This window comes from Homo sapiens, chromosome 1 (genome assembly GCF_000001405.40).
Source record: "Homo sapiens chromosome 1, GRCh38.p14 Primary Assembly".
Lineage (NCBI taxonomy): Eukaryota > Metazoa > Chordata > Mammalia > Primates > Hominidae > Homo > Homo sapiens.
This window is the reverse complement of record NC_000001.11, coordinates 59,769,856-59,794,573: the sequence shown is the minus strand read 5'-3', so window position 1 is coordinate 59,794,573 and position 24,718 is coordinate 59,769,856. Positions and strand designations below refer to the sequence as shown.

General features: G+C 37.6%; 2 long non-coding RNA genes across 2 annotated transcripts in view; one reads left to right on the top strand and one right to left on the bottom strand.

The window, feature by feature from the left end:
• LOC105378758 (uncharacterized) overlaps positions 1-23,754 on the top strand; it is a 44,047-nt gene extending 20,293 nt beyond the window's left edge. The window contains exons 4-5 of the long non-coding RNA XR_947426.3: positions 5,392-5,497; positions 23,678-23,754. This is a non-coding gene — a long non-coding RNA (uncharacterized LOC105378758). The remainder of the gene's footprint in view (positions 1-5,391; positions 5,498-23,677) is intronic.
• LOC101926944 (uncharacterized) lies at positions 5,742-21,779 on the bottom strand. Its single transcript, NR_110627.1, has 3 exons — positions 21,537-21,779; positions 20,450-20,523; positions 5,742-5,955 (listed from the first exon to the last, which is right to left on the bottom strand). It is a non-coding gene; the product is annotated as an uncharacterized LOC101926944 (long non-coding RNA).
• Positions 23,755-24,718: the final 964 nt, after the last annotated feature.

Sequence of the window (24,718 nt, the reverse complement as noted above, 5' to 3'; positions counted from 1 at the left end):
TTCATTTTTTCCCATTTAGTATGATATTAGCTGTGAGTTTGTCACATAGGCTTTATTGTGTTGAGGTATGTTCCTTGTATAGCTAATTTGTTTAGAGTTTTTATCATGAAGGCATACTGAATTTTGTCAAATACTTTTTCTGTGTCTATTGAGATGATTCTGTGTCTATTTAGACGTTTTATGTCTTTCATTCTGTTGATGTGATATATCGCATTTATTGCTTTGCATATGTTGGACCATCCTTGCATCCCTGAAATAAATCCCCCTTGATCATAGTGTATAATCATTTTGCTGTGCTGTTAGATTTAGTTTGCTAGTATTTTATTGAGGATTTTTGCATCTATGTTCATTACAGACATTGGCCTGTAGTCTTCATTTTTGTTTTGTTCTTTTCTGGTTTGTGTATCAGCATAAGACTGGCATTATATAATAAATTTGGAAGAGTTCCCTCCTCTTTAACTTTTTTGAAATAGTTTGAGAAGAATTGTTGCTAGTTCTCTTTTAAAATATTGATATAATTGAGCAGTGAAGTCGTCTGGTCCTGAGCTTTTCTTTGTTGGGAGATGCTTATTACTTGCCATTTGTCTGTTCGATTTTCTGCTTCTTCTTGGTTCAGTCTCGGTAGATTTTATGTGTACTAGAATTTACACACTTCCTCTAGGTTTTCCTGTTTGTTGGCAAATTGGAATGATTATTTGTATTTCCATGGCATTTGTTTTAAGGTCTCCGTTTTAATTTCTGATTTTATTTATTTGGATCTTCTTTTTCTCTTAGTCTCTTTTCAAAAAATCAACTGTTTGTTTTGTTTGTCAATCTTTTGTATTTTTGTCTCTATTTCATTAAGTCTGCTTTAATCTTTATTATTTGTTTTCTTCTGTTAATATGAGGCTTGGTTTGTTCTTGTTTATCTAATTTTTTGAGGTGCTACGTTAGTGAAGTTTTTTTTTTTTTTTTAAACTTCCTGCTTTTTTGATGTAGTCATTTATTGCTTTGAACTTCCCTGGTAGAACTGTTTTGCTATCTCCCATAGGTTTTGGTATATTGTGTTTCTATTTTCATTTGTTTCAAAAGGTTTTTTAAATTCTCTTCCTAATTTCTTCATTGCACCATTGATCATTCAGAAGCATGTTATTTAACTTCTAGGTACTTACACAGTTTCAAAAGTTCATCTTGTTATTGACTTCTAGCTTTATTCGATTGTGATCTAAAGAAAATCTTAATATGATCTCAATTTTCTTAAGTTTATTGAGGCTTGTTTTGTGGACTAAGTTTATTGAGGCTTGTTTTGTGGTCTATCCTGGAGAGTGTTGCATATACTGATGAGAAGAATGTGTATTCTGCAGCTGTTGGTTAAAACGTTTGGCAGATGTCTGTTGGGTCTATTTGGTCTATAATGCAGTTTAAGTCCTATGTTTTTTGTTGATTTTCAGTATAGATTATCTGTCCAATGCTAGGAGTGGAGTGTTGAAGTCTCCACCTATTGATATATTGCAGTGTATCTCACCCTTTAACTATAATATTTACTTTATATATCTGAGTGCTGTTGTGTTGGATGCATATATATTTAGAATTTATATCCTCTTATGGAATTAATCCCTTTATCCTTATGTAATGACCCTCTTTGTCTCTTTTTTATGTATTTAGACTTAAATTTAATCTATTTTGTTTGATATAAGTAATTATAGCTACTTCTGCTCAGTTTTGTTTTTTGTTTATGTGGAATCTTTTCCCATTCTTTTACTTCAGTCTATGTGTATCTTTACAGGTGAAGTGAGCTTCTTGTAGACAAAATATAGTTTGATCTTGTTTTGTTTTTATCCTTTCAGCTAATCCATGTCTTTTAATTGGAGAATCCAAAATAATTACATTCACAGTTTTTATTGATAGGTATGGATTTACTTCTGTCATTTTCTTAATTAATTACTGGTTGTTTTTTACATTTTTTTGTCCCTGTCTTTCTCTCTTATTGTTTCTCATGGTTTGGTTGTTTTGTAATAATGTTTGATTCCTTTCTCTTTCTTCTTTGTGTGTCTGCTCTACTAGTGAGCTTTATACTTTCATGAGTTTTCATGTTGGTTGGTATCGTCTTTTCACTTCCAGATTTAGGACTCCCTCAAGCATTTTTTGTATGGCCTGTCTAGTGGTGATAAATTTCCTCTTTTTTTGCTTATCTGTGAAAAACTTTATTTCTCTTTCATGTCTGAAGGGTATAATTGCTGGGTGTAGTATTATTGGCTGGAAATTTTTTTTTTCGGTACTTTGAATATATCATCCCATTCTCCCTGGCCTATAAGGTTTCTGCTGAAAATTTTTCTGTTGGTCTGACAAGGCTTTCCTTATATGTGAGTTGACACTTTTCTCTTGCTCTTTTTAGAATTCTCTTTGTTTTGATTTTTGACAGTTTGACTACAATTTACCTTGAAGAGGGGCCTTTTGTGTTGGATCTATTTGGGAATCTCTGAGCTTCCTGGGTCATATTGTCCCTATCTCTCTCAAGATATGAGAAGTTTTCAGCTGTTATTTATTTAAATATATTTTCAATGTCTTCTCCTATTTATTCACCTTCTAGAACTTACATAATCTGAATATTTGTTCATTTAATGTCTCAGAAGTCTTGTATGCCTCTTCATTCTCTTTAATTCTTTTTTTCTTTTGTTGTCTTACTGGGTTATTCAAAAGACCTGTCTTCAAGTTCAGAAATTCTTTCTTCTTGATCCAGTCAGTAGTTGAAGCTGTTGCTTGTAATCTTTATTTTATTCATTGAAATCTTCGGTTCCAGTATTTCTGTTTGGTTCCATTTTATAGTACCTATCTCTGTTGAATTTCTTATTCTGATGATAATTGTTTTCCCGAATTCATTGAATGGTCTATTTGTATTCTCTTATATCTCACTGAGTTTTTTTAAGATAATTATTTTGAGTTCATTTTTAGGCATTTCATAGATTTTCTTTTTTGGAGTCTGCTACTGGAAAATTATTATGTTCCTTTGGAGGTGTCAGGTTTCCTTGCTTTTGCATACATCTTGTGTCCTTATGTTGATATCTGCACATCTGGTGTAGCAGTTGTCTTGTCTCATTTTATTGAGCAACTTTCATAAAGAAATAATTTTTCCTGTAGATTTGTCCTTTAGTGTTGGTTGGGTAGTGTTTTGGCTTTGGGTCCAGGTGGGTGCAATAGTGTAGTCTCTGTGTGATTCTGTTTGGTGTATTCAATGTTAGCAGTGTCTGCAAGTGCCTCAGCGGCCTAGGCTGCAAGAGTTTGTGGAGGCTATGGTGCAGCTTTGCAAAGTGTAGTGGGCCCCCAGTGGGCCAGATCTGTGGCCCCTGAGAGGGCTATAGGCCTTTGGTAGCTCTGTTTCTGAGTGGGTGAGGTTTCCAGAGGTGTCAGACTCTGAGTCGGCCAGTCCTTAGGTCTTGGGTGTTGCACAGATGTTCAGTGGCTTGGCCACTGGAGTGGGTGAGGTTGCCACCAGTGGCAGGCCTTGGGTGGGCCAGTCCTCTGGCCTCTGGGTGAGGTGTGTAGTGACTCAGCTGCTGGAATGAACAGGGTCACTGGCAGTGGACCCTGGAATGGGCTGGTGCTTGGGCCCCTGATGAGGCGTGTGTGAGCACATGGTGGCTATGTCACTGGAGTGGGTGATTTATCAAAAAAATAGACAACTTACAGAATGGGAGAAAATATTTGCCTATTATAGATCTGATGAGACTTATATCCAGAATTTATACAGAACTCTTACAATTCGATAACAAAAGACAACCTAATTCAAAAATGGGCAAGGGATCTGAATAGTCATTTCTCTAAGGAAAATATACAGATGGCCAGTAAGCACATAAAAAGATAGTCAGCATCATCAGTCATTAGGGAAATACAAAGGAAAACCACAATGAGATACTTCACACTCGCTAGGATGGGAAAAAGTAAACAAAACAAAACAATACAAAACAAAACAAAACAGAATGTGATGAATATTGGTGAGGTGTGGAGAAATTGGAACGTTCATATATGGCTGGTGGGAATGTAAAATGGTGCAGCCAACGTGAAAAAAAATAGTTTGGTGGTTCCTCGAAAAGTTAAACCTAGTGTTATCATAAGACCCAACAATGCTACTCCTAGGTGTATTCATTTGTTCTCATGCTGCTATGAAGAAATACCCAAGACTGGGTAATTTATAAATAAAAAGAGGTTTAATGGACTCACAGTTCCCATGGCTGGGAAGACCTCACAATCATGGCGGAAGGTGAAGGAGGAGCAAAGGCACGTCTTACATGGTGGCAGGAAAGACAGCATTTGCAGAACTGCCCATTATAAAACCATCAGACCTCATGAGACTTATTCACTGTCACAAGAACAGAACAGGAAAAACCAGACACCGGGATTCAATTACCTGCCACCAGGTCCCTCCCACAACACATGGGGATTATAGGAGCTACAATTCAAGATGAGGTTTGGGTGGGGACACAGGCAAACCATATCATTAGGTATATAGTTAAGATAATTGAAAAGAAGAGTTCAGACAAATCTTGTACACAAATATGGAGGCAGCCCTATTCTCAATAGCTAAAATGTAGAAACAACCCACTGTCCTCCAATTGATAAACAGATTAACAAGATGTGGCATATACATACAATGGGATGTTATTCATCTATGAAAAGGAATAAAGTACTGATTCATGCTATAACAAGGAAGAACCTCAAAAATATTATGCTAACTGAAAGAAGCCAGACACAAATGCCTACATATTGTATGGTTGTATTTATATAAAGTGTCCAGAAGAGGCATAGAGACAGAAAGCAAATTAGTGGTTGTCGCGTGCTGGAGGAGTTGGGGTAAATGGAAAGGCCAGTGACTACTCAATGGGCACAGGGTTTCTTTTTGGATGATAAAGATATTCTAGAATTAGGTAGTGGTAATGGTTGCAAAACATTGTGAGTGTACTAAACACCACTGAATTGTACACTTTAAAATGTACTAAAAAATTGTACACTTTAAAATGACTAAAAGGGTGGATTTTATGTTATCTGAATTTTACCTTAATTTTAAAAATACACGAAGAGAGCAGAAACATTTTAATTCTTATTTTATGTGCAGCATTATGCTAGTCATTTTCCTTTTCTTATTGATTCAAGTGGATATTTGTCCATAAACACGTCATGACTTAATTGAAAGAAAATTTCCAAACTGGACTTTAAACTTTTGAATTTGCTTGGATTCTACCTTTTCTGTGAAGGCTTTTTTGAGCTCTCCTAAGACAGAACAAATGGCTCCATTTTATGTAATACTTCTTTACCTTTTTCAGGCTTCCATTATTGTACATATTATGCTTTGGCTTTATTATTTACATTTGTAATTTGTTTTTGCCTTGTAACATGTTTGTTGTTCTCTTTTACTAGTTCATGAGCTCTTCAAGATTGGGCCTTGCCCTTTGTATTTTCATTTCTGGAGCCTGGAATATCACTCAGCACAAAGTATATACTCAATAAAGGTTTTCCTGGCCAGGTGGGTTTACATATTTGGTTTCTATAAGCACTACATTAATGACTCCTAAAATAGCTATGTCTGTTTGACTTGTCTGTACAACACTCAGCATTCATTTCCCAGAAGGAAACTAGGTCACATCTGGGACACATGAAAAGTTTTAAGAAGAGTTGTGTTTGAAATACAAAACCCTGAAGTGTACACCAAAGATAACCTGATCATGCCAAAAAATTATAACTGATAAAAACTTTATTTCATTATTACATTTTTGGTCTTTGCTCTTTTACTTCTTTATTAAGTTTATAGTAACAGAATGATTTACACATGTTGAAAAACAAAGCAGGATGAAAAAGGCAAAAAGTAAAGCAAAACATTTTACTTTATGAGTCTCTTACTTTGTGAATTCTCTCCTATGCTGGTTATTTTGTTTGGTTCTGAGGACAATTTGTGCACAAAAAATCCGAGACATCTCCATTCTCCTGTAAAAAACAAAACAAATAAACAAACAAACAAAAAGCTTGTGCTCAAAAGAGAAATTTAAAAATTTTTTAAATATCTGATGCTTTTATGAGGGTTTTCTGTTTTCTCGATAAAGAGGATCTGAGTGAAAGGGTCTCTCCTGACAACGATAACAAGTAGAATACTTTTTGTAAACAAGAAAGGCATTTTGAATATCTGACTTTGTTGGTTTCCAGGACCAACAACAGAATTTGCTGGATACCCATGAACCTTTCACTGTGCCTATGCTAGACACTGTGAATAATATACTTTGGGGGCACTGGTTACTTTATTGTTAAAGTCATTCTTCAACTTGATCTTTTCTTGTGAAAACAAGGTAAAATTTCTTTTCTGAGGGAATAGCATTTGAAAATTGTAAATCATGCAAAAAAATGGTTAGGCATGTAAGAAAAATGGCCATTCCATTAATTATGTTCATGTCTGCTCACTTCCACTCTATACCCAAGTTCACAAAATGACAAGTGAAAAATCATGTACTTGCCTTTTACTGTACTATTTTCCTTTAAATCTTACTTAAACCTAGAATAGTATTTTATGTCTTCCATACATACTAGCATTGTTGTTTTCCAGGCTTGCTGAGTTGAACAGACAATCCTCATTGTCTCTCTTTCTTCTGTTCACATTCCAAATTTGGGAAATGGGATCATCTGACACAAAGGATCTGAATCTTGTGTCTCAGATTTTTGTGAAATCTGCTTTACCTTGTCTTATTCCCTTTTCTTCAAATTTATCAGCATTTATTGAATATCCACTATAAAGATGCCTGCCTCTGTGCAGGGCCTGTAGTAGGGGTTTAATAATGAGACTCTATTTTCTCCAACTTCTTCCATTTTATAAATATTCATTTTATCAATCAGGGCTCTAGTCAGAAAGAGAGTGCACACCCATAGCTGACAGCATGGAAGGTGATATGGTATGGCTCTGTGTCCCCACCTAAGTCTCATCTTGAATTATACTCCCATAATTCTCACATGTTGTGGGAGGGAACCGGTGGGCATTTTCCCCATACTGTTCTCATGGGAGTGAATAAGTCTCATGAGATCTGATGGTTTTATCAGGGTTTTCCACTTTTGTGTCTTCCTCATTCTCTCTTAGCCTGCTGCCATCCATGTAAGATGAGAATTGCTCCTCCTTGCCTTTTACCATCATTGTGAGGCTTCCCCACACACGTGGAACTGTAAATCCAATTAAACCTCTTTCTTTTGTATATTGTCCAGTCTCAGATATATCTTTATCAGCAACATGGAAACAGATTAATACAGTAAATTGGTACCAGTAGAGTGGGGCATTGCTGAAAAGATACCCAAAAATGTGGAAGCAACTTTGAAACTGGGTAACAAGCAGAGGTTGGAACAGTTTGGAAGACTCAGAAAAAGAGAGGAAGATGTGGGAAAATTTGGAACTTCCTAGAGACTTGTTGAATGGCTTTGACAAAAATGCTGATAGTGATATGAACAATAAGGTCCAGGCTGAGGTGGTCTCAGATGAAAATGAGGAACTTGTTGGGAACTGGAGCAACAGTGACTCGTTTTGTTTCAGCAAAGAGACTGGCAGCATTATGCCCCTCCTCCAGAGATCTATGGAACTTTGAACTTGAGAGAGATGACTTATGGTGTTTGGTGGAAGAAATTTCTAAGTAGCAAAGCATTCAAGAAGTGATTTGTGTGCTGTTTAAGGCATTCAGTTTTAAAAGGGAAACAGCGTAAAAGTTTGAAAAATTTGCAGCCTGACAATGTGATAGAAAAGAAAATCCCATTTTCTGAGGAGAAATTCAAGATGGCTGCAGAAATTTGCATAAGTAATGAGGATACAAATGTTAATCCCCAAGACAATGGGGAAAATGTCTCTAGGGCATGTCAGAGGTCCTTATGGCATCTCCTCCCATCACAGGCCCAGAGGCCTAGGAGGAAAAAGTGGTGTTGTGGGCTGGGCCCAGTGTCCCTGAACTATGTACATTACCTAGGGACTTGGTGCCCTAAGTTCCAGCCACTCCAGCCATGGCTGAAAGGGGCCATTGTAGAGCTTGGGCCATGGCTTCAGATGGTGCAAGCCCAAGCTTTGGCAGCTTCCACATGGTGTTATGCCTGTGGGTGCATAGAAGTCAAGAATTGAGGTTTGGGAACCTCTGCCTAGATGTCAGAAGATGTATACTAGGGCAGTGTGGAAGGGACCTCTGCTAGAGCAGTGTGGAAGGGAAATGGGACTAGAGTCCCTTCTGGGGCACCACCTAGTAGAGCTGTGAGAAGAGGGCCACCGACCTTCAGACCCCAGAATGGTAGATCCACCAACAGCTTGCACCATGCACCTGAAAAGCCACAGACACTCAATGCCAACCCATGAAAGCAGCCAGGAGCAGGGCTACACCCTGTAAGGCCACAGGGGTGGAGCTGCCCAAGGCCATGGGAACCCACCTCTTGCATCAGCATGACCTGGATGTGAGACATGGAGTCAAAGGAGATCATTTTGGAGCTTTAAGATTTGACTGCCCTGCTGGATTGCAGACTTGCATGGGGCCTGTAGCCCCTTTGTTTTGATCAATTTCTCCCATTTGGAATGGTTGTATTTACCCAATGTCTGTACCCCCACTGTATCTAGGAAATAACTAGCTTGCTTTTGATTTTACAGGCTCATAGGTGGAAAGGACTTGCCTTGTCCCAGATGAGACTTTGGACCATGGACTTATGAGTTGATGCTGAAATTAGTTAAGACTTTGGGGGACTATTGGGAAGGTGTGATTGGTTTTGAAATGTGAGGACATGAGATTTGGCAGCAGCCAGGTGTGGAATGATATGGTTTGGCTCTGTGTCCCCACCCAAATCTCATCTTGAATTGTATTCCCATAATTCCCACGTGTTGGGGGAGGGACGCAGTGGGAGATAATTAAATCATTGGGGCAGTCTACCCCATACTGTTTTCATGGCAATGAATAAATCTCACGAGATCTGATGGTTTTATCAAGGGTTTCCGCTTTTGGAACTTCCTCATTCTCTCTTTGCCTGCTGCTATTCTTGTAAGGTGGGACTTGACTTGCTCCTCTTTGCCTTCCGCCATGATTATGAGGCTCCCCAGGCCACATGGAACTGTAAGTTCAATTAAAGCTCTTTCTTTTGTAAATTTCTCAGTCTCTGGTATGTCTTTATCAGCAGCATGAAAATGGACTAATACATAAGGCAACTGCCCATCAGGAGTTGTAGTCATAAAAAGAGCAGCTACAGTTAGACAGTTGGTATTGAGGCAGTGGGGAGGGAGTACCTCTTGTTGGCTGAACCAAATAGAAAGCCAGAGGGCAATGGGAGCCTGGGTGGCACGGTTTTTAGGGTCAACCTCCCAGGACAGGAAGTAGGACAGAAAAGCAAGGCAAATGGATCTAGGTGACCAAACAAAAAATAAAGAGCATATTTACTTCTTTGTTTATTTCAAAACAATTCATGAAGCAGCATTATTATCCACATTTTGCAAATGAAGATATCGAAGTAGTCAAGTTTAAATAACTTGCTGAAAGTCACCTAGCTCCTAAATGGCAGACCTAAGATTTAAATTCATGTCTTCTAGGTCCACTTACATTCTTTTATACCAGAATGTCTGTCTTACATTTTACGTATAGGACCTGCCTTATATTTAAGACAGCCCGAATCTTGTAAATGATCATGCCTTCCACTTTCAATTAGACTATCAGGAAACTTAGAGTCAAATTCTAAGTCCCCTTTCCTAAGTGTGCCGGATCTTATAGCTTGTATTTCTTAGTGGCCTTGTCTTAATTTTTGATTTTACTTTCCCATTGCCCTGATTTCTTTATCACTGTATATTACCTATATTTTCTTCCGTATCATTTTTGACGAAGTGAATGATAAACAAATGAATAAATAGTTCTGTAACCTTGAGCCTATGCTTAATCAGCCTTTTCTGTAATAGAGAACCATTACTGTCACTATATAGGGGTTGTGAACGCCCCAGTTCCACCCCTAAACACATATATCCATGATCTCTGCTTTAGAGTTTGTTTACAATCACAGCCTTTTTGTAACCCAGCAGCCACTACCAATCAATTAGTATTGGCAGAATAATTAAAACCAAGTTGATATGCTTGGTGTAATATGACCAGTAAATTAACTGATAATATTGTAGGATCTTTAATATGGTAATGCCCTATGGAGAGCAGCTACTGTGTTTAATAGAGGACGCTCAGAAAGCTTTTAACCCAAGCTCCTTGTATGTGATGAGCATCATTATAGTCTGAATGCTTCCCAAACTTCAAGTACTTAAGTAAATGGCAAATTGAGCAATATGTGAATGCACTCTGTCCTCTAATAATTATTTTTTCTCCCCCAGACTTAAATTTGTGGCATTATTCCAAGGATATCTCAATGGTTGTTTTTTTTTAAGTGCTATACTATTTGGTTCTTTCATCCTAGATAAAGACCTATTTGGCCTTATTAATATGATTAGCTCCAATAAAGCTGTAGGGTCACAATTCCATTATCTAATATCCTGAAGCAGCACTACAACACCATTCAGGAGAGAGTGGAATTAATTTAAGCAATTCAAGACTTGGATTCTATTCAAGACCATTTAGTGAAGGTTTCCAAAGAACAATTTAAAGAAGCTTTGCCCATAAGATTATAATGACATGAGTCACTATAATTATCAAAATGTTACTGATGTATAAGTTTCTTATAGTTTTATAAATATTTATAGAGTATGTGTTTTCACATATATTTTCTCATAACTCAAGATAAAGCTTTAACAAGTTTCCTTTTAACATACATATCTCCCTATGTGTGTATAAATATATAATCAAGAGTTTGATTCTCTGGGGGAAGTATCAAAACTGGCTGATGTGCATCACTAAGATATTCTTTAAGCAAACCGGTCACCTTCTATTCTGTTGTGTGAAATTCAGGTGCATTGGTCTGTGAGCCTTGCTTAAGCTGACAGCCTGGCGCTTTCTGTTTCTCCCCAAGTTGAGTATATGAGACTCTGACATTGACACAGATATGGCTATTTCAGCTTCAGAAACATTCTATTCTTTGACATATTTTAGAATTAAAATTAAGAAAATGTTCAAGATTCTGACCCCTTTCAATCTAGTATCTTCCTTGATTTTGTTCTTTTCCATGTTCTTTCCACTGTTCCAATTGTTTCAAAGATGAACAACAAACATTTGATGATGTTTTTACATTTTAAAGTTTGCTCCTTTATCACCTCATTATATTTCCATTATCATTCTGTGTAGTGCTATCAAGACTCACATTTTCCCAATGAAAATATTAATGTTCTGACATTCAGAACCAGACATGCTCCAGGAGGACTGGCAGACCCAATGGTGCCATGCTCATTGGTGTTCACCATTTATTATAGATTCAAAAATATCTGTGGACAACCCATTCCTGATATTGTGAGAAATACAAAGATATACAGAACACTTCAGTAAATGTCCTCTATGCTCCAGGAGTAATTTGAAGGCACCATACTTCTTACTTCCAAGGCCCTCCCAGGTGCTATTTTCTCTGCTTAGAAGACTTGTGGGGCACAGTGGCTCATGCCTGTAACCTCACTGCTTTGGGAGGCTGAGGCAGGATTATTGCTTGAGCCCAGGAGTTCAAGACCAGCCTGGGCAACATAGTGAGACCCTGTCTGTACAAAAAAATTTAAAGATTAGCCAGGTGTGGTGGCCTGTGCCTGTGGTCCCAGCTACTTGGGAGGCGGAAGCAGGAGGATTGCATGAACCTGAGAGATCAAGGCTGCAGTGAGCTGTAACTGCACTATTGCACTCCAGCCTGGGTGACAGAGTGCGACACTGTCTCTAAAAATAAAAATAAAAAAAGACTCACTCTAACTTTTCTGAACTCTTCTTCACTTCTCTAAACTCCATGAAGTGAGTATCAGCTCTGCATTAACTACTGTATTCCCTGTCACTAGCAAAGTACATTGGTAAATGCTCATTTAGTATTTTTTGAATGATTGAACTCAGCCTATTATCTTGTTGCCTCTTGCTGCCCCTGTAGTAATTATATTTCATTGCTGCCTTTGTAATTATAGCACACATTTCTCTTGCACTTAGAGTCCATACTGTTGTTTCTGCTTGACTGTGAAACAAACTCTTCAAAAACAGAAGACACAGAAGATCTCAAGAGTGTTTCCCCATGACAATTTATATTAAAACTCTGTCTGGGCTCACTGTCAGTTCGAAATAAGAAGAATCAATAAGAGACAACACTGGGAACTAAACATAAAACCTGTTGGAATTCACTGGTTAAATAAAATTAGGTTGGGCATGGTGGCCCATGCTTATAATCCCAGTACTTTGGGAGGCCAAGGCAGGGGGATTGCTTGAGGCCAGCAGTTTGAAGCTGCTGTGAGCCATGATCATGCCATTGCACTCCAGCCAGGGCAACAGAGTGAGACCCTGTCTCAAAGAAAAAAAATTAACCAGTTTCTGGCTTTTCTAACTAGAAATAATAGAATTATATATTGTATCCTGTTTACAAGATTTTCAACTACATTGTTTAATTAGTTACATTCAGTATATAATATCTATGACAAAGTTAGAATAAAGTTATTACTTCTAAAATGAGCAAAATATAATCAAAAGCCTTAATGGGAAGAAATATCGTAACTGTATTATATATTCACGTTGTTATGTTGGTGTAAGATATGTACATTTTAAACCTAAGAAACAGTGACATAATCATCTTCATAATCTTCTATTCAAACATTTGCACATTTCTGGCATGAGCACAGTGCCGGGCATAGAGTGGGTGTTTGACAAATGTTTTTGAAATAAGTGAATACATATACTATTACCGATATTTGACAAGAACTTTATGGTGTGCAAAGCCATTGTTTCATTTGAACCTCATAACAACCCAGTGAGTTGGGTAGAGAAGTGATTACCACCAACTCTACCTTAAAATTGAAAAAAAGAGCGACCCAAAGGGATTAATTAATTTGTCCAAGTTCACACACAGCTAGTATGTGGTATGGCTGCATTTCAGATCCAAGTCTTGGGTATCTAAGTCTCAAGTCTATTCTGACTTCACTTCCAAACTTAAATTTATGTATGGTGAAAAAACTAAGAATTCCTTAACATTTTAAATGGCATTCAGTGTATTTCTAAAATATCAAAATAAAATTGCTCTAATTTTATTAAAATTAGAGAATCATATATCTACATAGAATAGACACTATTAAAACAAATTTAGCACCTGAAAGTAATTGAATAATTTGTCTTAGGACTAAAATGAGAGGAAAGCACAGAATATGTGAAGCAAAAGCAATCATCTTGTTAGTGAACTGTCAGCATCTCTTAGTACCAATGAGTGAATAATTATCACAAAAGGAAAGAAAAAATAAATCATTATCAAGCCTGCCTGTAATAGTGTTCCCCTGGGGATAATTATTTGTCTTTATTGCATTCTATTAGTACTACTTTACATATTATATAAAACCCTTCTATTTTTATTTTTATATTTGATCCATGCTTTTAAAAATCCATGCTTTTAATAAACAAATTGTTTCCTTAATGTGTTTTGAACTTAGTAGAACAACAGACCATTGTTTATTCATTTGGTTCTACAATCAATAAACATTTAATAACTTTACAGTAATTAGAGCTGTTCAGAAAAAACCAGAGCAACCTCAGGGGTTCCTTGTTACCAGAATCCTCATGCTGAGGCTGTTACTGGTGTTAAAGAGAAAAGTCCTTTATCAAGTGGCAGAAAATACTTCTTCTTTTTTTTTTTTTTTTTTTGCTAATTTTTAAAAATGGTAAAACTGTTCTAATTTCAAAAAATCTTCAATTAGCTTACAATAAAAGTACTGGCATAGTAAAATAATTCTAGCATACTATAAAGGCAACTAATCAATGAAGGGGAAGGCAAGAACTATTTTATCATGATTTCATAGCTGAGGAAAATACAATTGTGTGTATATTAAATGTAGTCATGAGCTCCTTGGCAGCTGAGGAATAGAGGGAAACACTGTTCTTAATATTTAGTAGATTCTGGAGTTCTGGGAGGCATCAGATATAGTTCCTAGAAAAGACTGAGTGAATGAACAAATAATGTAAATGACAGCAAATTTTATAATAAAAGTATACAAGTATTTTTCATATAAGTCATTTTATAGTTGTGGCCTGGTGAAATCTAAAGACCAGAAAGATAAGACTCTGGTGTGGACCAGAGTGAGGTGGCCAACTGTAAAGCTTCCTGCAGATGGGTGCCTGCAGGGAAAAGCTTATGGGTAGTGGGGTGGGGATTGAGGAGCTGAGGAAATTGAGGAGGTTTCTACTTTACATGATTCTACAACTCTATGTGAAGTAGAATGCAACTCCCTCCTCTTTTAAAAACCCTTCAGTGGCATTCCATTACACTATGACAACATCTGAACTCCTTATCATGGCCTTCAAGGTCTTATGTGATCCAGCCTTGGCCCCCTTGTGGTCACGTATCCCCTGGATCATTCCACTCTCACCACGATGGACTTCATCCAACTCTTCAAACATTTTGAGCACCTGCTATTTAGTGTTCTTTTAAATGATGGTTTTTCTACCTGTACTGCTGTCTCTCTGCCCTTTCACTTGGCTAATTCCTAGTCATTCAATAGATTTCACCTTAAGTATTTAACTGCAGAGAAGACCATCTTGACTTCTACCTAACCCCATTTGTATTAAATCATATCTATAACCCTTTTATAAAGAATCTGGTATTTTCCTTCATAGCATTTATAACAACCCATTTGTGCTTTCATTTATTCAAAGTCTTTTTATGTATATATACATGGGTTAGTATATATACATACATGTATTTTCTATCTTTTTCCACTGAGAGAAACTAGAAGCACTTCCGGCACCCAGATCTTGGTTTCTGATACCATTCTCCAATAAAAGGAACCAGTGTTCTTTGGAGAAATCACTGATTCTAGGGCAGGGGTGGGAAAATCCAAGATAAGCCTGGAGCATTTTGTAGTGACAGAATGCAAGGAAGGGCTCAACAAAATGGGGACATGTGAAAAGGGCACAGTAGTCAACCTGAAAAAGCTCCCATTGGCCAAAGCTAGGCAGTGGGAGCTCTAACTTGTTGCCCCAGTTAGGGAAACAAAATAAATGACAGTATTGGAATATAACCTAAAAAATAAAATGAATATTCATGAATGTTTACTGAGTGATAAATGATTGAATAAATAAATAAATGGAGGAGAAAGGATAAATATTTCCTGCCAAATTCCAAATGATAAACGTAGTTGCTGCCTCCTCCACGATGTAGAGCTTAACTCTGCTTCCCTTGTGAGGGCTGGATTTAGTACTCACTTCTAACTAACAGAATATGAAAAGGGAAAAATAGAAACTTAACAGCAGAGAAATCTGCCATGTATCACCTTAACTAAATTAATAAGGTTAACATCATCAATGATAGCTCATGTTTATAGCTTGTATCCTTGATGTGATGTGGTGAGAAGGGCACTTTGCCAATATGTCATTTGTCCAAAATATTCAGAACTCTAGTCTACTTATATGAACACATCAGACAAACCCAAATGCGGGGACTTTCTCCAAAATGCCTAACCAATCCTTTTTTTTTTTTTTTTTAGATGGTATTTCGCTCTTGTCACCCAGGCTGGAGTGCAATGGTGTGATCTCGGCTCACTGCAACCTCCGCCTCCTGGGTTCAAGTAATTCTCCTCCTCAGCCTCCCTAGTAGCTGGGATTACAGGTGCCCGCCACCATGCCCAGCTAATTTTTGTATTTTTAGTAGAGACAGGGTTTCAACATGTTGGCCAGGCTGGTCTCAAACTCCTGACCTCAGGTGATCCACCCACCTCAGCCTCCCAAAGTGCTGATATTACAGGCGTAAGCCACCAGGCCTGGCCCTAATCAATAATTTACAAAGGTGTCAAGGTCACAAAAAACAAAGAAAGTCTGAGAAACTAAAGAGATATGATGATTCAATGAAACATGGTGCCCTGGATTGGATCCTGGAAAAGGAAAACATTAATCAAAAAATTGGCGAAATTTGGTTAGAGTTTGTAATTTAGTTAGTAGCATCGTACCAATGAAAGTTTCTTAGTATTGATAAATACTGTATGGTTGTGTGAGTTGTTAACATTAGGGGAAGCAATGTGAAGGGTATATGGAACTCTCTATTGTTTGCAAGTCTTCTGTAAAACTAAAATTATTACAAAATGAAAATTTAAAAATGTCTTCTTCTACTAAACTTTATCTGTTGCTCACTACTGTATATTCATTTTTGGAACAGTGATGTATGGTGGGTAAAACTGTGGTTTCTCGAGGCTGGATGCATGTTTGATTTCTGGCCCTGCTATTTATGAACTATGGGAGTGGCAAGTTTCTTAAGGACTTCTTGTCTCAGTTTCCTCATCTATAGAAGGGGCATAAGGTGGTTGCGAGAATTGGAGGGCTTAATATATATAAAACACATACAACAATGCAAGGTTAGTTATTACGGGTATAATTTCCATTTAATATGTCATTGTTGAATGAGTGAATAAATGATTCAGGGCTTTTTGCTAAGTGTGAATCAGGATTGAATTCAAGTCAGAGAGAATATTTGAAGAAGAGGCAGGACATAGAGTAGTTTGTTTACAGTGGAATGGAGGCTCTGTAAGGCATAGCTGGTGGGTTGGCACAAGGATGGCAGAAGGATAAGGAAAAACTGTGGGGCATGTAAGCCAGGAGTGATACTGTTATGGAAGTGTGTATGAGGGCTTTGTGTTTGGAGCAGTGGTGAAGGTTGACAAACAAGGGCAATTGGTCTCTCCTGGGCATATTGCCTTCAAATTGGTTCTTCACTTTCTCCTGCTCTGCTCTGTATTTCAGGGGACTGACCCTTGAATTCTGCATATTTGGCCAGTGGGAGGCACTGGTGGAACACTAGAGGGAGGGAAGAGGGGAGAAGTTGGAATGTTTCTCCCCTCCCTCTCTGTCTTGGGCAGCAACTCCCCAGCAGCGCCATCTCCAGAACAGTCCTGCCAGGATGCCAGCTTCGCCCAGGGGCCCGTAACACTGCCTCTTCCTCTGTCCCTCTGGCCTAGGGTCTTAGTGGTTCCCTTCAGTTATGATTCTCTGGGTTGCCTCACTACCCCATGCTTGGCTCTCAGTTCCTCCACTTCTGTGTAATTAATTCCCAGTTTTTAAATCCCTGTTATGAATACTCAGCTGGCAGCTATTTCCTGCTTTGACTCTGACAGAAACAAAAGGCACGATGGAATTCCCTGTCTTCCAGCCTGACTTAAACTCAGGGGAAAAGATTTTTCAGTGCTACCATAGATAGAAACGCTGGCTACTTTCCTAATTGCTGGTTATAGGGTCCGTGTGCTGTGACCTGGCCTGGGCTTCAGATCATTGCAAAGCTTAGAAGGAGGAGGTGCTGATGAGAGCCCATTTAGGCGTATATCATGCACCACTGCCTTATGGAGAGTCCTGGACAGAACTGGACCTGATGGAAGGGAAAGATCTGATGGGAGGAGAAGGTCCTGGAATCTCAGTGATGCAACAGCCAGACCCAGTGTCACATCCATTGGGGGTTATGTGGGTTGAAGAGCTCCTTCTGCCTAAGTGTGCCAAGTATTGGAGTCAGGGGTATCCACATTACTCCAGCCCCTTTAAGTACACCTGGCATACTCGCTGGACTTCATACAAAAAGACACTACTATCATCAGCATTTTGTCTGGAAGATGATAGTGAGGCAGCCATATGAACTACCTCTCACTTGAGTTCTTGCTTTCTGTCTTCCTCACCTGGGCTCCATACCTTACATCCATTGCTCACCTGGCCCATTGGAAGAACAATCTGGCTTGGCCAGCTGTCTTGCCTTTGACCTCAGTATCCCTTGCAGGTATAATTCCAGCATTTATTTTTCAGCTTCTTATGCTTCCACCATAGTGAGGTAGGACTCTACTTCCACACACCCACTTAGCACATACCCAGGGACCTCCTCTTATTTTATTTTATCCTTAAAATATAGGAGACCAAATGAAAGATGGGATTGGCGAGTCTAAGATGAGACTGGAAGCAATAGTCAGGCAGAGGGATGGAGGCAAAAAGGCTAGCCAAGAAGCTGTTAGATGTGGTAAGAACCTAGACTCCAAGAGTGGAAGAGGTGAAGGTGTATGGGAAGATGCCACCCTAGATTTAGATGCAGGGTGGAAGGATTTGGCTGAATATATTTGCAGAATATATGATTTGATGACTAGTATCTTGCAGAGTTATCTAATGGGTATGTATAAATTAAATATGTTCATATTTAAGGACTACTCATGGATATATACACACATATTTATTAATCCACTGTAATCAAAATTTTTTGATACCAAGAGATGTCTTTTAAAGGTAAAGAAGGGTAATATTTAATTACAATCACAAATTATAGCTGCAGAGGAGCCAATTCATTCCTTTCAACCCCAATCAGATGGTTACATAAACATCTTTGCCTGTCTGAGGGACAGTAGCAGTGACAAGAAGAAGATTAAGGGTGGAGGCTTTAGTTCCTCCACAATTTCTGCTGACTTTACCTCTCAATTCTCTGATCTAAACAGTTCACATTTCCTATGCAAAGGGCTTCGTAAAAGCAGTTTTATTACAAGTTGGCTAGCTTCTCCTTTCCACCATATTAAGTCCCCTAAGCAATTCCTTTATAGAAATTCTAGATTCTCTACTGAAAGTAGTATTTTGTAGTCATAAAATATTGATCCCTTCCCTTACAATTTGTAGTTTATTTTAAAATACTAACATTAGGTAATGGTTCTAACAACCAGTAGTCATTTGCAGTACTCTCAAGTAAGTCTCAATCACCTCTGCCTTCTACACGGCTCCTGTAAAAGCAGCCTTGGCAGTATTCACGTCACCAGAGGTGGCTGTTTGATGAAGAGTAATGAAAAATGCATCATCACAGGCTGATACTGAACAGTTATCTGATCAACCTACACAGCAGCCTGTTCTTAGCTAAGACTCGGGAAGAAGATGTACCTGGCATGCAGCATGGTGAAGAGCATGGATTTTGCATTTGTGCAGACCTAGTACGAGTCTTGGCTTCACTATTTACTGGCTCTGAGACCACTGGTAATTTATTTATTTAACATCTTGGTTAAATAAATAACAAAGTATTCATCTACAAAAATGAGGATAACAGTATATTCCTTACAGTGTTTCTTTAGGAGATTAAATAAGTAGTAGGATCTGATCTGGTATGTCTGGCATTCCATGACTTGCTATGGTTGGTGATGGTGTTTTTAGGTGCATTTCCTGAAGGATGTTCCCGCTCATTCCTGTTCCACAGGGCCTCCTCCCACAGGTAGCATAAGGTTAAAGCCATCATCAGATTTAGTGTTTTTTTTAACATCACCTGCATGTTAGAATCACTTGGGGAGTTTTTTCAAACATACCAATGCCAGGTCACATCCCGGAACAATTCAGTCAGAATCTCTAGAGGTAAAGCACAGGCTCACCAGGTGATTCCAATATGCAGCTAGGGGTGAGAATCCTTAGGTTAGAGGCACTATGGATCTAAACTCGGATGGCAACTATGATGATTCCTTGTGTTCTTCAAATTTGAGAAAACTGCCTTTTATTCTTCCTTTCTGGTGAGGAACATGGATTCCTCTAAAGAAAATTATAGTTTGATATCACTGTAAATCTAGATGCAGGTGGAAGGATTTGGCTGAACATATTTGCAGAATATCTAATTTGATGAGCCGTATGTTGCAGAATTATCTAGTGGGTAAGTATAAATTATATTGATATTTAGGGACCACCCATGAATGTTTATACATATGTAAACACACACATATATTTGTCCATTGTAGTCATAGTTTTTTGATACAAAATTGTCTGCCTTTGGTCAGTGGAAGATCCTTCAACTTGGCCCTAATGTTATTTTAGTGTGATGCAATGGTCTTTGATGGCTTCTTTGCTCTCACTTACAACGAGATATCCCAGGCTTATCTTGTACATTTCTCATCCTCAATATGGTGCTGGCAGTTTCTACAAGGGAACTCGATTTTTTTGATATTTAGACACTAACATCTTTACCCTTTGATTGCTAATTGATATTGGCCTGTCAATGCTTCTATGTATTCTTGGTGAAAAGAGCTAGCAATTTTACAAAAAAAAAAACAACAAAAAATTGATACTGGTATTTCCTTTTCAAGTTAAAGATTATAGTGTTTTAACTTTTTATATTTGTATGCCTTTTATTTCAGGCTAAAAATCTTGATTTCTAAAGACATAAACATTTGCTTTATGAAAAATATATCCTAGTATATTTTTTAAATATGAATACTAATATTATTACTAAGAATAAGATTATTAAATGTATTTAACTGCATCCTTGGTATATATCCTATGAGGTATGGGAAGATAAAAGTACAGTTTTGAAAACTGAAGGAATTATTTTCTTTGTAGTTATGCCACAACTTAGTATAAATTTAAGTATACTGTACCTTAATAATGAAAAGTAGCCAGATAGGATCTGTTACCTATGGAGAAGGGAATTTTGACATCACAGAGTTGAGGGCTGTGAAAGTAGAAAAATGAAACCATTTAATGAATATACCACATCAAGTTCAGACTGATTGATACACATGTTAAACTCATTTTAAAAAGGAAAAAAGCAAAAAACCGAGGGCAGAAAATTGATGGGGAATTGAAAGAGAGCTTGGGACAGTTAAATCCATATGTGTCTTCTGTCTGGAGATAAAAATACAATGTTCACTTGGTCATTCATTATAAGTGCCAAACTCCATTATTACTGAGGCTTCTTCTGCTTCAAATCATACATTTATTTGGGAGTTGTAAAACATTATAATTCCCAAAGTCACGCTCCTTTCCATCTGGTTCATATCTAGTGCCCCGAAAGCTACTAAAAGGAACTTCCCCACTGTCTTGCTGTTTGCACTACACTTATGAGAATGCCAATGACCGCACTTAGGGGACTGGTCCTCAATACTCCCAAAGCCACCACCCCAGAGGCCAGAGCAGAGGCTGGCACACTACAGCCTGCAGGCCACATTGCAGGACCACCTGTTTTTGTAAATAAGGCTTTATTAGAACACAGCTCTGCCCATTCATTCACATATTGTCTGTGACTGCCTTCTTGTTACAATGGCAGAGTTAAGCAGTAGCGAATGAGATCAAATAATATGAAAGGCCAAAAGATATTTACTATCTAGCCCTTTCCTAAAAAACATCTGCTGACTGTATAGCAGTGCAGCTTGTGTCTGGAGTATAAAGAGTTAAAAACATAGCCCCTCTAGCAGTAAATCTTCACTCTTTCTGAGCATTTTTTAAGTGTCGAAAGGGGACTATATACTAATAGCATCGCCAAGCATTCTTTTTATTTTGATTTTTATTTCATGAGACTTCAGCTTTTCCCGCCTCTCCTCTCCTAGTCGTAGGACACCACTGCCATGTAGTTTAAATGGGGCATCACATCGTCTATCTCCTACCACTGATATTTTTAAAATCTCAGCTCCACCTCAGCCCCAATTATCTTCTGACACTTATAGGAGGTGGTTTAATGCCACTTACCAGTGTGTGACCTTGAGCAAGTAATTTCATGTCTTGGGACCTCAGTTTCTTCTTCAATAGAACAGGATATTATTTACTCTTGGGGCTATGCAGATGTAATGAAATAATGAAAGTTCTTGGAACATAATTTGCATCCTAGAAAGGTGGTTATTATTATTGTTGCTGTTGATTAGTGTAAGGTAATGGTTAAGAACTTCAGCCGGACATCTTGGGTGATCTTGGGCGATCTTGGGCAAGTTATTTAATTGCTCTGTGCTTCGTTTTCCTTATCTGCAAAATATAAATAACAGTGCTGATCATTTCCGTTTGTTATGAAGATTAAGTGGGATCAGGCATAGACCAGAGCCTGCCCATGGTGAGCACTTATCCACTGTTAGCTACTATTATTATTAGTTATTCTTATTGGTATATTAACTGTTTATTCTTAAAACTAGAGTTGTGATTATAGTATGAGAAACAATATTTTTTAAACACTGAGTTAAGTTTTTGTACAAATGTAAAAGGGTTTTGGGGAGAGTAAAATAATCAGAAAAAAACGAAAAGAGTAACACATTGTTATCTCATTCTACACTTACAGTTGTAAAGGTTTATTTTTTAACCACTTCCTTACCAGCTCAATCACCTTGTAACAAAATCGACATTGTATTTATTTCCTGTAGATTCCATAACCTCCCAGAGTCTCTTTGTAAGTCTCTCTACAAAAAGAGCAGGTGAAATCAAGGCCAAATACGTGTTCCTGATATAAATAGCAGGAAGTCGATGAAATGTTTATTGTAAAAAGAGTAGGATTGAAACATATGCTTGAATACATATAAGCACAATATGTTCTCCAGCTCTATGTAGCACCTGTGTAGAACAGCTAAGCCATATGTTTCAGAAATTATACTTTAAAAATTACTATGTAGATGTAAAAAAGGAAAATGCACAATTTATACAAAAAATAAACATGTTTACTGTTAAAATAACTTCATGGTTCCTTCAAATCCTTTTTAATTGTAACAAGTTTTTATCTTGTAGTGTATGCAGAAACTTCTTACAAAACCATTAAAGTAAATAAACAGCTTAGAAGTATATTGTCAAAATGATATTAAAATATCTATACAAGGTTGAAATTTAAATCAGCACAACTTTAATAGAACTCATGACATTTAGTATTAAGAACTCATGTCGCAAAATAGCTAATGTTAGCTACACTATCCTTTAGTATTTGCTTGATCTTAAGGAAATAACTTTTTACTCTTTTTAGCAAAAGACCTAATAATATATTAATGTTGTCTGTGTTGTATGTATGGTTTAGGGTGAGGGTGTGCACAAGGAGGGGAAGTAAGTTGGAGAGGCGTGATATTCTTGGCCTGATATACATTACTAGGGAGTTTCCTACATGGAATACAGGATAGAGAAGGAAGACTTCAAAGTTAGAATGGATGGAAATACTAAATTTAAAAATATAACAAAGAAATGCATGATTGTATTATTAGTTAATAATTAATTATTAGTTAATAATTAGTTAATGTGACACTTGCTATCCCGTTAGTTTGACCCATGGTCTGGAGCTACAATTTAATTTAACTGAAGGGACAACTTTCAGTTGAAATTTCTTATATTTCCAAGTAGAGGTCTTTTTGAGCCTATTTCTAATGACTAGTTTAAACATTGATAATTAGCAACATTCATTCGTAAGGCAATAATTTCTATAGCAGTGAATATCATTTTAATTCTGTAATTAGATAACCAAAATTTTAATAATAGGAGCTATCAATTTGCTGAATAAACCTTCCAACAGATAATATGAAAGAAAAACATCTATACAACTCAGGTGAAAACATGATGATTTGGTTAATTAACCTTCGAAATACTGTGGTTGTTCCATTATGTGCAATAAAATGCTTTGTAAAAAACTTGTCTAAAGGAGTAAGTCTGGGAAATGCTTCACAGGTAATTTTTCTCTAGGAAGCTCACAATGCACATGAGTATATTACAAGATTAGTATAAGATATTCTGTAGTAACAAGACATATTTAACTCAGTGTTTCCCAAACTTAGTTGGCCATGGCTCTTTTTTAAAAATGAAATCTAGTGTTATTTTGGTAAATAGTGTTGGCTGATTATACAAAAGCCATTCCCTCCCTCCCTTTTTAACAGAACCATGATTTCATTGGAACAGCAATATGCCCAGTCCCGGAGAAGGCATCATGAGTTCTCTATGCCAGTTTTAGCAATCCATAGTGGCTGGAGTGTGATGCAGAATCTGGCCAATGAAACCTAAGGAGAAGTCTGCTGGGAGGTTCTTCCTTGATCAGGAAAAACAACAACAAGAACAACAACAACAACAACAAAAAACAAAGAACAAAAAAAGGATAGCATAGAGAGAAGATTCTCGTGTTATGGATGCTGTGAAAATAAGATGCCTTTAGAGATGTCAGCATCTTGTAATCGGAAGTAACAAACCTGAGGTCAATTGCTAGCTGATGAAGACTGGAGGAATAGGAAGATAAAAAGGGCTTGGCTCTTTGATGGAACTGTTGAATCCTCAAGTTGACTTGATGGCTGCCTGTCCCTGTAAATAACAACTATCTTATCATATCAATTTAGCTGTCAGATGGGTTATTATTACTTGCACCTAAACACCATTCCCACTAATAAACCTTCTCTTGGGAAACCCTAGCATAGAATAAGAGAGTGCTCTCCTGACTTGTGAGATTGGGAGCACAACACATGCTAGTCAGGAAAGGGAGCGTAATGGAGTTGTTCAGAGTTGGGACTAGAGGGATCCACTTAACTGCAAATTTTGCCCCAAGCAAGACTGAGACAGCTGTTCTGACCCTAGCAAATTTAGCCTCCATATAGGTCAGTGTGGCCCTCATGGCATGAGGTACATCAGTTAGGATAGGATAGATTATGCTGAGGCAAGAAACAAACTTAAAACCTCAGTGTTTTCAACAAACAAAAGTGTATGTCTCACCAAGACACATGTTCACTGTGCACTGGTTAGGGGCTCTGCTCACAGCCATCCTCTCTCTGGAACCCACGCTGAGGGAGAATCCCCACGTGGAACATTTGCTGGTTGTCGTGTAGGAGAAAAGAAAGCTCTGAGGATTCTCACACTGACAATCAAAGACTTTGTCCGGAAATAACACACATAATTTCTCACAGCTCATTAAACAGATTGGTCACAAGATCCTT